General features: G+C 36.2%; 2 long non-coding RNA genes across 8 annotated transcripts in view; one reads left to right on the plus strand and one right to left on the minus strand.

Moving 5' to 3' along the window:
* Positions 1-15,779, plus strand: part of LOC102723370 (uncharacterized) — a 366,694-nt gene that overhangs the window by 350,158 nt on the left and 757 nt on the right. The window lies entirely within an intron of this gene.
* LOC124902645 (uncharacterized) overlaps positions 1-15,779 on the minus strand; it is a 74,729-nt gene that overhangs the window by 8,169 nt on the left and 50,781 nt on the right. Inside the window, exon 2 of the long non-coding RNA XR_007062622.1 lies at positions 1,396-1,501. This is a non-coding gene — a long non-coding RNA (uncharacterized LOC124902645). The remainder of the gene's footprint in view (positions 1-1,395; positions 1,502-15,779) is intronic.

The raw sequence follows: 15,779 nt of genomic DNA on the forward strand, positions 1-15,779 counted from the left end.
GAAATTGGCTTCACTAGTCATCCCCTTAACCACTATACAATATTACAGTTATGAAGCCATAGTCATAGGTTAACTGTAAACAAATGAAGTTATGATAGGAGGCTCAAAAAATAAAAGTTCTAATTGTATGAACAGAAATAATCAAATAGTTAAACAAAAAAAAGGAGGCATGTAAAATGGCTCCGTAGGAAATGCTGTGGTAAGATCAGATTTTGAAAAAAAAAATACATGTGAAAGTTGAAGGAAGAAGCATAAATATAAAGACATATAAATGAACATCAAAGAACCATATATTGGAGTAGAGAAAACTCAAGTCCAGCATGGATAAAACTCAGGGAAAATATCCAAAATAAGTAAATTACTTGAATTTTATTTAGAGAAAGCCAAACCAGTGCCTATTCTTTAGAAGTGACACAACAATAACCCATGACAGAGAAAAGAAAATTAATCATACAGGTCTTATTACATTTAACCTCCTCCATTTCAGAATAGAATGCAAGTTACTTACATTTATTGGGCTACTTTTGTCCTTTAGAAAATCCCACAAATATGTATCATTGCCACCATTTTACACATGAAGAAATTGTGGTTTGGAAGATACTGTTTACTCAAAGGTATAGCTAGTAAGTTGCAGAGATGGAATTTGAACTGAAATCAATCTTGTGCTAAATCCACATTTTCTTACATGAAAGATGTGACTGGTAAAAATTAGAATTACAGATGATTGATACTTAAAAAATTAGATTTAAGTGTATGATAATCTAAGCTGAATTAGTGTGCACAAATAGGTGGAAGTCCCATGAATTCTGATATTCCCAGCCCAGAGATAAATGATTCTGCTTTCATAATAGTTTTCCTTTTGTTCCATTTGTTGTCCTAGTTAATGTCTAGTTAATGCCTTTGTTAAGTTTTATCTGTGATAGCCTACAATACATAGTCCCCTCCTGCCTAGCACTTCCCTCACTACCCACACTTTCTGCATGTGTAGCTTTAGGTAATTCAAGGGAAATCCTGAATCCAAAATACAGCTCAAAGTTATAGCTAATGAGCCTTATCTACCTAGAATAAAATTCTGAAATAACCTTTTAGCATTCTTTATTAACGGATTGTTAAGTTGTCACAGTGACAGAAGGAAACAGAGAAGATACAATACCAGGACTCTATCAGTTACCTACTGCTGAATTATAAACCACCACAAAATTAGAACCTTAAACCAAAAAAATGCACAAAATTTTAATTCCATCACATTCTGCCATACAAAGCAAGTAATGAGGCCAGTCCAGATACAAGTCTACTTCTTGATGGGAGGAGCAGAAAAGTCACATTGCAAAAGGATGAGAAATTTCTGATTTGTTAAACGTTATTTTCTTTAAATTGGACTTTGGGCAGACTTACTATAATATGGCAACTCCAAAGATTTTGTCACCTAAGTTGTATCTGTCTCCTCTTAGCTAATTCCATCCTTTCCTGTATTGTTGTCATTTCCTTAATATTATTCAGCCTGAAAAGGTAAAATAAATGTCATTAAGTGGGAATTAAATTACTATTAGGCAGCTTTTTTCCTTAATAAAATGTAATCTATAGAATATTAAATTGTTATCAGAATCAATGAATTAGAGATATATATATGGCAACATGGAGAGATCTTCAAAGCATAGAATTTACTTGAAGTTAATAAAGTGAAATATATGTATTCCCATGAGGAGCATGAAGGAAGTAAAAGAGATAACTGTTCACCACAGGGATCGAATCAGGTGGGCTAGGCTGTATGTGTCATCAGAATCTTATTCTTCTAGGCATCACCTTTCTCTCCCAAACACATAAAGAAATATCCCAGCAAAAATGAAATCTGGCTTTATGTAAGTGCATATTGGTTATTTAGAGTCCCCCTATTAGTGCATATTACTCATATAGAATAGAGACTATGCTTTAGGGGTAGGATCAGAAAACCTGTGACACTACAACGTGGGAGATCCTGCATCACTGTGGAGTTTGGCATGGCCCCTGAGTATGTATGTTCAACTACATAACCTGTGCTGATCCTGTGTCTGCACTAAGGCACGTTATAATGTCTTAATATCCATTTTTAATGAAAGAATAAATGCAAAACACTTAAAACAGTGCCTGGCAAACAAAAGGTGTTTGAGAAATTCAGTTGCTATGATCATTATATATTCAGTGCCTTCTCTATGTCAGGCATTATTTGAGGCTCTGTGGAAAGATCAGTGAACAAAATGAACAAAACTTTATAATCTTATTGAGCTTATATTTTAATGATGAAACAAACCATAAATAAATAAACAGAATATGTAGTATATAAGACGGCGATAAGTGTCATGGAGAAGAACAAGATAAAACAGATAAGGCAATGAGGGTTTTTAGTCAGGGTGGGGGTTGCAATTAAATTAGAATGGTCAGCAAAGGTGTCACTGAGATGGTGACACTGGAGCAAACTGCTACAGAATGTAAGGAAGAGTCATGCAGATACCTGCTTAGAGAAGGCCCCTCATAGTATGACCCTTTAGCACACATTGTTTATGAATTCACTAGTCCATGACACTGTGCCAAGTCCTGTGTGCAAAATAATAAAAGTAGCAAACAATTATTAAGTACTTACTGTGTGCTGGGACCTATACTAAGCACACTACTTGCAATATTTCCCTTAATCTTTATAAAAATGATTTTATGTGGGAAGTAGGACTTAGAGAAGTTAAGTATCTTATCCAAAGTCAATCAACTAGGATTGTTACTAGCAGCAGCACTAAGATTTCAATTTAAGATTAGGACACCACAGCTATTACCTGAATGTCATGTTTATTTATTGAACATAAGATATTTCTATACTCTCACAGAGCCTGGTACTTTTCCTTGATAGCCTTTAACATTGTATTTAATATATTATTCATACAACTGTTTTTTCAGTGCCTTTTTTCACATTAGACTGCATATTATGTGACGGCAGGGATGAATCAGGCTTCCCTCATTCACCACTGAATTTGCAACACTTAGTACAGTGTCAAAGCACACAGAGTGCTCAATTCATGTTGCCTGAATTAATCAATATATCATATTTCATTATCATTGTTTCTTTGTAATATTTTACTGGTTGCAATGCTCACATGTTACTTTTCCCAGCTTTCAAATAAATATTTAATAAATAAAATTTAAGGACACCAAATGGTCTTTGATATGGTTTGGCTGTGTCCCCACCCAAATCTCATCTTGAATTCCTACATGTAATGGAATTATGGGAGCAAGTCTTCCTCATGCTGTCCTCATGATAGTGAATAAGTCTCATGAGATCTGATGGTTTTATAAAGGGGAGTTACCTTGCACAAGCTCTCTTGTCTGCTGCCATGTGAGTGTCTTTCACTTTCTGCCATGATTGTGAGGCCTCCCCAGCCACGTGAAACTAAGTTCACTGAACTTCTTTCTTTTGTAATTTGCCCCGTCTCAGGTATGTCTTTATCACCAGCATGATAAAAGACCAATATAGTCTTCATATTATGAGTAATATGATCAAAGTAGGGCTTTAGGAATATTATTCCAGTTTATAATTGTCTGTAATTGAAGTCTGTAATTCTTCCAGTCCAGCACCCACTCTAGTGACATAGCCCTTCAATTACTTTTTTGAATACCATCTTCTTCCCATAAGACAGTTCAGTGGTAAAAGTCTACCCCACCTCTTGTTCCAAGGATGGTTAAATGACTTAGCTCTAACCTCTACCAGTCTAACCACTGGCCTCAAAGACTTGCACGCAACCCAAGGCAGGCCAAAAAGATGCAGTCCTAAATGTTTGCTTAAACTATTGGGAAAGAGATACTTTGTTTCTCAGTATTGCTAATGTTATGGTTAATATTAGGTGTCAACTTGATTGGATTGAAGGATGCCATGCCTAGATAGCTGGTAAAGTATGTTTCTGGGTGTGTCTGTGAGGGTATTGCCAAAGAAGATTGACATTTGAGTCAGTGGACTGAGAGAGGAAGAGCCACCTTCAATGTGGGTAGGCAACATCCAGTAGGCTGTCATCACAGTAGAACAAAGCAGGCAGAAGAAGTGGGGGAAGCTGACTTGCTGAGCCTTCTAGCTTTCATCTTTCTCCCATGCTGGATGCTTCATTCTGTTCCTCCTGCCTGCAGCTTTCATCCAATAACTGCAGGGTTTTCAGTCTTTGGACTCTTGAACTTATACCAGTGGTTTGCCAGGGGGTCTCAGGCCTTCAGTCACAGACTGAAGACTTTTGGACTCGGTTTGAGGCACTACTGTCTTCTTTCTTCCTTAGCTTCCAGACAGCCTATCATGGGACTTGCAGTGTGATCATGTGAGCCAATTCTCCTTAATAAAATCTCTTTCATATATACATATATCCTATTAGTTCTGTCCCTATTGAGAGCCCTGAGTAATATAGCTAACATGTTAAGATTTACAACTGGAGCTTCTTCAGTTCATCTAGTTTCCTCATAAGAATGTGTCTGCAAAAGAAACCAATGAAGGAGAAAAGCAAGCCAAGATATGGGATGAAACAGATTTCTGACAAATATTTTTTTGCACCTGAGTTCATCCATCCGTAAAGCCATGCCCTTGGACTTTTCTGCTACATAAGCAATAGATACTTTTTCTTCCTTAAGCCAATTTGAATCTGTATATTAGCTATCTGCAGTTCATAATGAATGGCTTCAACATTTAATGGTTGAAAACAACAAAAATCACTTATTATCCCTCAGTTTCTAATGAGCAGGATTACAAGTGTGGCTCAGATGGGATGTTCTGGCTGAGTCTCTTATGATGTTGCTCCTAGATGTTGGCTCGACTGCATTTATTCAGTGGCTCAACTGAAATGGAGAATCCTTTCAAAGGTGGCTCACTCATGGCTGGCAAGTTAGTGCTGGCTGTTGGCAAAAGTTCTCAGTTTTTTTTTCACATGGGCCTTTCCATAGGACTCGTTGAGTGTCTTCATGGCATGGTAACTGGCTTCCCCCAGGGTGAGCTATCCAAGAGCCCAAGACTAAGGCTGCACTACTTTTTAAAACCTAACCAACTAACACTGGAAGTTACACACTATTACTTCTGCCTTACTCTCTTGGTTACACAGCATCAGCCCTATTCATTATGGAATGGAACTTTGCAAAGAGAGAAATAGAAAGCAAAGGTCACCAGAAGCCATCTAGGGTGCTGAATACCACAATCAGGTTTCTGTAATTGCATTATAAAGTCTCCTGCCTGAACTTACAATTTACCTAAATATAATGTAAAGTGTCTATGTATTCTGATGAAAAGCCTTGATAGAATAAAGAAAACAGTATAAGCAAACAACCTCATCAAGGTAGACTCCAGGGAGACAGCATACCTGAGCCAGGCTTTGAAAATTATTTCACTATTTATTTGTTTAAGTAAGGATGAAAAGAAGTCATTTCAGGGCTGAGAAAAGGAGAGGCAAGAAGGAGTAAAAAGAAGACTGTTATAATTGATGTAAACAGAGGGGTCCTAGTGGAAGATAACACAGTGAACAATTAATGGAACCAGCTTGGGGCGGATCTCTGACTATATATCTTCTAGAGCTCAGATTGAATTCTGTAGCAGTTTTTCCTCAGAAATATAAGCAGTAATTAAGCAAAGGGAAAAGATAAGGGAAGGCCCAGCCATACTTCTGTACACACAATGCTAAACACAAACTTACCAATTTCCAAGTAAGAAGGTTGTTGGTAGCTAATGTGGTACCTTGCAAAGCCTCCATGGGCCTAAAACATGATCCTCATCTTCTCAATGTCAAAAGATCTCTCCTATTCATTTATTCAAGGTTGATCTGATTCTAGGGGACTAACTGATGCTAATAAAACTCACTAGAGATTGATTAGCAACTTGAAAGCTAATTTCTTGATTTATAATGAGAAACTTTATTGCCTCATGGACCAAAATTCTCAAGTCAAGTGGATAGTGTATCCTCTTTCTAATAGGGAAGTTTTCTTGGGAACTGAATTAATATGAGAAAGTTGCTCAGTAATTACAGAGGTAAAAGAAAGGAAATATAATTATCTCAATGAATTTATGATTAATTGTTTTCTCTTCTCTATACTTAAATCATTTGACATGTTTGTTCACTCCAGAAACATTTACTCAGCATCTTCTATGTGCCCTGCCCCATATTAGTTGCTGAGCCATGTAAAAATGTACAAAAGCCTTTGCTATCAGCAAGAGGACAAGTGGGGAACCAACATAATTCAAGCTTCTAATATTTGCCAGACCTTATACTAGGTGATTTATATCATTGATTTTTTACAACAAACTCTGTAAGAAATTAGATTTTATTTTTATTCTTCAAAGATGATAAAATATATTTAAAAATAAAAAATGCAATTTAAATAACTTATGCATGATCACAAAGATATGTGGTTTCATTACTGTATATGCAGTTAACCCCTGAGCAAGAAAAGTGTTAGGGGCACTGACCCCCATGCAGTCAAAAATCTATATATAACTTTTGACTCCCCTAAATATTAACTACTGATAAACTATTGTTGATTGGAAGCCTTTACTGATAAAATAAACAGCTGGTTAACACATATTTTGTATTTTCTATGTATTATATACTCTAATTTTTACAATAAAGTAAGCTAGAGAAAAGAAAATGTTACTAAGAGAATCATAAGAAGGAGAAAATATATTTACTGTTTATTAAGTGGAAGTGAACCCTCTGAAAGATTTCATCCTTAACACCTTCACACTGAGGAGGAGGAGGAAGAGGAGGAGTTGCTCTTGCATCTCAGAGGTAATAGAAGCAGAAGAAAATCCTTGTATAAGCGGACCCATGCAGTTCAAACCTGTGCTGTTAAGAGTCAACTGTATTTGTCAAAACTGATATCATACGTAAATTATACCTCAATAAACTGATTAACGAAAACCATGTCAGAAAGTCAAAGAGAGGATTTGGAGAGACAAAATTTTGAAAAAGGCTGTTACATGGTGTGAGTTCCCAATCCCCAAACTTTGCCTCAGGCCTGCTGAAAAGAGTTTCCATGGTACCACTAAAGAAGCAGAAATGTGTTCCTTGAAGTTTCCTAGATGATTAGTTCTGAGTAAAGGTTAGTTTTATTTGTTCAACTTAGCTAGGCTATGATGCCCAGTTGTTTGATCAGACACCAGTCTAGACATTTCTCTGAAGGTATTTTTTAGATGTGTGTATTAGTCCATTTCACATTGCTGATAAAGACATACCTAAGACAGGGCAATTTACAAAAGAAAGAGGTTTAATGGACTTACAGTTCCACATGGCTGGGAAGGCCTCACAATCATGGCAGAAGGTGAAGGGCACATCTCACATGGTGGCAGACAAGAGAATTGAGCTTTTTCAGGGAAACTCCCCTTTGTAAAACCATCAGATCTCATGAGACTTATTATCACCAGAACAGCACAGGAAAGGCCTGCCCCCATGATTCAATTACCTCCCACTGGGTCTCTCAAGATGAGATTTAGTGGGGACACAGCCAAACCTTATCAATGTGATTAACATTTAAATCAGTAGACTTTGAGTAAATCAGATTACTCTATATAATATGGGTGGGCATCATCCAATCAATTAAAGGCCTAAGTGCAAAGACTGGAGTTTTTCAGGGAAAGAATTCTGTTTCCAGATTGCAACATAGAGATTCTGTCTGAGTTTCCAGTTTTCAGACTCAATACTACAACATCAACTCTTGCTAAGATTCACTAGCCTCCATAATCTTGTGAGCCAATTCCTTAACATCAACCTCTCTCTCTTAATCGGTCTGTTTCTCTGGAGAACTCGGACTAATACAGATTTTGGTACCCAGAGTGGTTCAAAAGGAACAAAATCTTAAGAATGAGTTTTCCAAATTGGAAAATCTAAACATCAGCTAGTCCTGGTTCACCAGCAGACTGCCTTTGGACTCACACTGCATCTCTTTTCTGAGTCTCAAACTGCTAGCCTCCCTTATCTTATTTTGGACTTTCTAATCCTCCACAATCACATGAGCTAATTCAAAAATAAATGTGTTAACAAATAAACAAACATCCTACACGTTCTTTTTCTCTGGAGAACCCTGATTTATATAATCCCCAAAACTATCCTGTGCTTATTTTCCCAGTTTTAAAATTCAGAATTGGTATAGACATGCTGAGCAACCAGGGAAGAATCCCCACATTGGTTTTCTCATCTGTATATTGAGAGCTATTGTGGTAGGAAAGGCTAAGTGTAAGCCACTAGACCTGTCTCTACCAAGGAAAATACTAAACTGAAAGCAATACCACATTACTGGAGGGATTACAGAGATAACAGCCACCATCCTATTCGATATGTCTCTCTGGAGAACACAGTCTGATTCACACCTAAGAATGTTAGTCAGCCCATATAAGCAAGATAGAGTTAGTTTGACCTGCATTTTCAATTTTGGGTTTGGGGACAAGGACTGAAATGTTTTTTGTGAACTAGATGTGGGCCTCTTGAGATTATCTTGGTCCTCATGAATAGAACTGTACAGAGGATTGAGGATTCATGGCAGCAGAAGTTAGAGTAGATAATAGGTTACTGAGAATGTTAGCAGTCAAGAGTGAATGCATCTGTCCAGGTCAAAGGAACTGTAGAAGAAAAGTCTCTAGTGTCAGGAAGCTTTCAATAATCCAAAAATGTACATCACCCAATTCAATCCATAATTTTTTATTTAGTTTCTAGACAATGTTAAATAATATTTTAGGTGCTAAAGATACATTAACACACAGTACAGACACAAATTGTTGCCCTTGGAGAACTTTTATTCTAATGGTAGAGGCAAACATAAAAACAAGGTTGTAAACTGGATCCCTTCCTTACACCTTATATAAAAATTAATTCAAGATGGATTAAAAACTTAAATGTAAGACCTAAAACCATAAAAAACATGGAAGAAAATCTAGGCAATACCATTCAGGACATAGGCATGGTCAAAGACTTCATGACTAAAACACCAAAAGCAATGGCAACAAAAGCCAAAATAGACAAATTGGATCTAATTAAACTAAGGAGCTTCTGCACAGCAAAAGAAACTACCATCAGAGTGAACAGGCAACCTACAGAATGGGAGAAAATTTTTACAATCTACCCATCTGACAAAGGGCTAATATCCAGAATCTACAAAAAACTCAAACAAATTTACAAGGAAAACAAACAACCCCATCAAAAAGTGGGCAAAGTATATGAACAGACACTTCTCAAAAGAAGACATCTATGCAGCCAACAGACACATGAAAAAATGCTCATCATCACTGGTCATCGGAGAAATGCAAATCAAAACCACAATGAGATACTATCTCACATCAGTTAGAATGGCGATCACTAAACAGTCAGGAAACAACAGATACTGGAGAGGATGTGGAGGAATAGGAATGCTTTTACACTGTTGATGGGAGTGTAAATTAGTTCAACCATTGTGGAAGACACTGTGGCAATTCCTCAAGGATCTAGAACTAGAAATACCATTTGACCCAGCAATCCCATTACTGGGTATATACCCAAAGGATTATAAATCATGCTACTATAAAGACAAATGCACACGTATGTTTATTTCAGCACTATTCACAATAGCAAAGACTTGGAACCAACCCAAATGTCCAACAATGATAGACTGGATTAAGAAAATTTGGCACATATACACCATGGAATACTATGTAGCCATGAAAAAAGATACGTTCCTGTCCTTTGCAGGGTCATGGATGAAACTGGAAACCATCATTCTCAGCAAACTATCACAAGGACAGAAAACCAAACACCGCATGTTCTCACTCACAGGTGGGAATTGAACAATGGGATCACTTGGACACAGGGCAGGGAACATCACACACTGGGCCTGTCGGTAGATGGGGGGCTAGGGGAGGGATAGCATTAGGAGAGATACCTAATGTAAATGATGAGTTGATGAGTGCAGCAAACCAACATGTCACATGTATACCTATGTATCAAACCTGCACATTGTGCACATGTATCCTAGAACTTAAAATATAATTTTAAAAAGTGAAAAAAAAAACAAAGGTCAGACTAAGGAGAATGAGGAATGCCAGGGTAGACAGGGTAGTCATCATTAGTAAAAGAAGGTAACAATTTGAGGAATGATTTGAAGGAGATAATGAAGTAAGCACACAGGTAGAAGAAACAGCCAGTACAAACACCCAAATGATGGAAATTTTCCTGGCATGCTTCAGGAACAAGAAAAAGGCCAATGTAGCTGTGCTAATACAGCAAGGAAACCCAATCATAGATGAAGTCTGAGAGATCATGGGGACCAGATTATGTTGGGCTTTATAGTTCATTCTAACAACTTTGCTTTTGCTATGAGTAAAACAGAGTCATTTTAGGGCTTTAAGCAAGGATCACACTAGCTTCTAATTAAGCACAAAGGGACAAGGGTAGAGACAAAGAGAGCAGGTTGAAGAAAATAATATAGATGAGAGATTGTAGTGGCTTGGAGTCCACTAGTAGCAGTAGAAGTTGTGAATTCTGGATGTATATTGAAGGCAGCATCCTCAAGATTTCCTGAAAAATTGAATATATGAAAAGAAGAGAGAATCAAGGATGACTCCAAAGACTCAACAACTGGAAAGATGATTCCCTGAGATTGAGTAGACTGGAGGTGCAAGAAGTTTTAGGGGAAAGGTATTGGTTGATCTTTGGACATCTTAAATTTAAGATGAGTATTAGAAATCCAAGTGAGCATGCTGAGTAGGCAGTTTGAAATATGAGTCTGGAGATTAAGGGAGAAATCCAAGCCAGTAATATAACTTAGGATTCATCATCACAGACATAATGTTTCACACAAAGATGTCATGATTTAAAATTGCCTTATCCTCTCATCTCCTCTTCCTATTGAAGGAAATTTTAAAAAAATACACCAAAATATATTTCTTTGACATATTTTGAAATGGCTGCCCTTAGCCATCCTGACAGAAGTGGCCTTGCAAAGCTGAATTAAGTGGGGAAAATTTCCATCTATAGATAATCTCCACTAATACAGTCATGCCCCCTCCCTTTCTACACCTTTCCCCAGATCCGGGAGGGATTGAGACTCTGACACCTTTAAAAGACTGAAAAGAAACATTTACCATCTATTCTTTCTAGGGGAGGCTTCGCTACATAACAAGGTCACCTTTGCTGGCCAGAATGTAAGCCCCCATTCATTCCATAACCTCAAAATGGTATATTAAGTTTCTGTAACTCTTTGGGAAATTAGATTTTCATTCTAAAGGCTCCAATGTATCTATGCTAAATACATTTGTATGCCTTTTCTCTTATTAATCATGTTAGTGATTTTTAGCAAACCTTTAGGGGACCAGGAGCCTATGGCCCCCACACTAACTTTTCCCACTGTTGTATGAAAGACAAAAGAGGTGAGTGGAATAAAGGAGAAAGATCTGGCTGTATCTCCATTCCTATAGACAACTTCAGTCTTTACTTTGGGGATATAGGAAGGAGGGAGGACACTTACCTTTGAATCACGATTGAAATGTGTAAATAATATCTTGGACTTGGCTATCTAATCTAATCTCTAAAGATTTGAGACTTTAAGAAGTTATAAATCTATTTCTTATCTCAGTGTGAGGAGAAAAGTCAGAGGAAATTCATAAGTTTTAATCCAAATGCATGGAAATATTTTCCCTCATGAATACAGTTGGAAAGGGCATTTGGAGACAAAACAAAGCTGCCAGTTACTAACACAGCAGAGCAAGTACATTAAGAATTAGTTTATGCACTATAATATTTTTCATTTATCCATTTCTGCTAATCCTTCTTTCTGCAATCATGCAAAGAAAGAAACTATTGGTGTTTAATTGCAATAAGCTTCTAATTATGAAGGCATCTGAAGCTTTTATGAATACCTGAATGGATGAAGCTTAAGATTTCTGCAAATTTCTCTGCTCAACACTGAGCAATTTCTAATAAACAATTGGTCTTTATTGATACTTCCACTTTTACTGCAACTGTGAGAAATAAATGCCCTTGATTAGGTGCTTGGAAAAATAGACTATGATAAGGCAAGCTTCTTAGAAAGGTATTTGACTAGCTTAGTATTCTTACTTTTATGCAGACACAGCTCATCAGCTCAATTGATAAGATTCAGCACCAAGTTGTGGGTTGAAATGTCATGATGGTATACAACATCTTACTTGATGGCTCAAAAAGCTCCCTGACTTAATTTACTTCAATTTTCCCTCTTTATAGCAAAGCTCTCTTCTGAAAAGATACGTCAGATTTTTATGACTGGATGGAAATTATAAATGCTGCTTTTATAAAGCACTCAGAGAAAGCATCAGGTGTCAAGATCTAAAACAGGCTGTCAAGATCTAAAACAGGCTGTCAGGATGATCCTGCATTGACTGCTGTTCTGGCTGCTTTAAGGAGCCTAAAAATATTCACCAACATGCAAACCCAACAGCCCAGACACACATAAGAGGACAAAGCAGGGCCAGAGGCCAGCTATTTGTTATATAAATAGAACATTAGCATAATAGAAGGTATTTGCTTGTTTCAGCAAGACTACTGTCATAAACTTTGCGGAGTAATATGTTGCCTTTAATAGAACAGCTCAGCAATCATTACCGGCAGCAGCCACAATATGTCTGGGATAATAATGGATGGCTGTTCAAGCCAGAATTTCCCACCCTATGTTACCATTTTAGGAAGTTTGTAAAGGCAAACTGGAATGATAAAAGCTTCAAATATCAGGTGCACTATCATAGCCCGTTGGATGCAAAACCAGATTGAGAGCAGCAAGAGCTATGCAATTACCTAGGATATTGTCAGTCTGCTACACTAGCAAAGTTCCTGGGGCCTGGCCAAGTTTTAGCTCTTTAATACCAGCTCTCCTTGATCCTAGATTATAGAAGATCAGGTGTATTAGTATGTTCTTTCATTGCTGTAAAGAAACACTCGAGACTGGGTAATTTATAAAGAAAATAGTTTTTTTTTGTTTGTCTTTTGAGACGGACAGTTTTTTTGTTTGTCTTTTGTCGCCCAGGCTGGAGTGCAATGGCATGATCTCGGCTCACTGCAACCTCTGCCTCCCGGATTCAAGCTATTCTCTTGCCTCAGCCTCCCGAGTAGTTGGGATTACAAGTACCCACCATCACGCCCAGCTAATTTTTGTATTTTTGATAGAGAGGGGGTTTCACCATGTTGGTCAGGCTAGTCTTAATTGACTCACATTTCTTCAGGCCATGCAGGAAGCATAGCTGCATCTGCTTCTGGGGAAGCCTCAAAAAACTTCCAATCATGACAGAAGGCAAAGGGGGAGCAAGACTTCTCACATCGTGGGAGCAGGAGCAAGAGAGAGTGAGGGGCCCCATGCTACACACTTTCAAACAACCAGATCTCGTGAGACATATATTAGGAGAACAGCACCAAGGGGATAGTGCTAAATCATTCATGAAGAATCCACCCTCATGATGCAATCACCTCCCACCATGCTACCCCTCCAACACTGGGGATTACAACTGGACATGATATTTGGGTGGAGACATAGATCCAAACCATATCATCAGGCAAAGCCATTTCTTCAAGGAAACTAAATTTCTGCTTATACTTAATCAAAGGTAAACATGTGCAAGGTTTAGAAGATTCATAAGGGAAATCAACCGAGATAAAACAGCATTCTGAAAAGTGTACTGACTACCTGTTGTGCCTACTTAGACCACTGGAATTGCTCCTGCACTCCCTCTTCCTCTCTCTCTAAGAATGTTTGCTTCTTTATATTTTAAATTAGCACATCTTTTCCTGTAGATAACATAACAATTTATAAAGATTTTATCTATCATATATTCCTATAATTCCTCCAACTACAAGAAAACCACTATTAATATTTTATTTTTCCCAGTATTTAATATTTATTATAAACAAGCATGTATGATATAGTGTATATATATCATCATATTTATATGATCATTTATATTAATGTATAGTAACTATGTATTATTATTTATATTATTATAAATTTATGGTATATTTACATTAATTAATATATCATAAATATATTACAATTATTTATTTATATATTTATTTATTATATTAAGTATATAGTAAATTTATTTTTAAAAATACATAAAAAATCTTTAAAAATAATTTTTTGCAAATTTCATAACTTAGCAAGGCATATTGTTTTATTTCAAAATGTATTTCTTTACTAGCAAAGTTGACTACTTAAAATATATCTATATTGAAGCACCAGAACTGCTGACTATTACAAGTTTGTAGGGTCCATAAAGTCAAGCATATCTTTATACTAATGTGTAGAAAACCTCTTTCATTTGAAACTTTATGAAAATCAAAATGATTCATTAATAAAAAATGATTCTTAAAAATGTATTATTTACAGTTTTTAAGATATAATGCTATTACTACTTAATAGACTACAGTATAGTGTAAACATAACACTAAACTGTATTATTGTACAATAACCAAGGAAATCTACTCAAAATAAACTTTAAAATTGGGAGTGACTATGGATTTTTATTAATAAAAGGGTTTGACACGCTTGAGAAATTAAAATACTTGCATCCAATATGAATCCTGGTCCCCACATGTTCTGTTCATCTCATAACTATTCATCTGACATTCTCATTATTTGATTATGCACTTGCTTAATTTTTCTACTAGTTATAATATTGAACATTGGTTTCTATAGAGTATAATCCTTCCAACTTTCTCTTTTCTCTGACAGCATAGGAGTAATTTAATGAAACTGCAACTCCCTCTTTAACCTGATCATCTGATCTATAGTCCTCATTTCTATAAAAATTCTGTAATATTTGATAATAGGAACGCAGTTTGACATCCCTAAATGTCACTTGTTGACTGGAAGGGAATCCTAAGTGAAAATGTCTTTTGTCTCCAACATTGCAAACTGAACTACAACATTTTTGTTACTATGCTCTATAAGTAATAGTTCAATAGTATTTCTCCTTCATTCTCCTATGTTCCATGTGTGACTTGCTCAGGCACTGCTTTTTTAAACAACTTCTGCAATGTATAGTTATGTACAGATAAAAATTGCTGAAAATTTTTCATATAGACAAGGTCTAAAATTCCAAGTTTGGATACCCGTAAAATAATATCTGTGGATTTTTCTGTAAGTAATTAGTCTAATCTGACTAGAAAAAGAAAGAAAGGAACAAAGAAAAAGATGAAAAGTAAAAAATATATATACAAAGAGCTGAAAGTATTTGGTTTTAATAAAGCAAAACTTGAATTAAAAGTAATGGGTTAGATGAGGAGAATGAAAGGGAAGTAAAATTTGTCAAGCATCTACTAAATTTCAGTTACAGTATGTTATCTACTTGCCAATAAGCTACTGATAAAAACAAGGATATGTTCCATTTTTTAAACCAGGCACTGTACTAAGTACTTTACAATGCTATTACATTTAATCTACATAGCAATATGATTACATATGATATATGTGTGTGTGTGCTTATACAAATGAGGATACTTAGATTTATATGCTTACAAGATTAACTTGCTAAGAAATTGGCACACCTAACTTTATGGATACAAATTTGTGTGACAGTAAGTTACAGGCATGTAATTACTGTGCTTTTACTATCTTCTCATAAGGTTTATTTAATCCCCAATTTTAGAGTTCAGGAATTGAGGGTCAGATCCACTGAATAACATAGCTAAGGACATTCAAGCCCAAATCTGTTTTGTCCCAAATAAGCTCTAAATTACCCAACACCATGGAAAATAAATACTCAGTTTTTCAGAGCAAATCTCCTGGGTATGAAAATATGGATCGCTAAAAAA

This window comes from Homo sapiens, chromosome 11 (assembly GCF_000001405.40).
Source record: "Homo sapiens chromosome 11, GRCh38.p14 Primary Assembly".
NCBI classification, from domain to species: domain Eukaryota; kingdom Metazoa; phylum Chordata; class Mammalia; order Primates; family Hominidae; genus Homo; species Homo sapiens.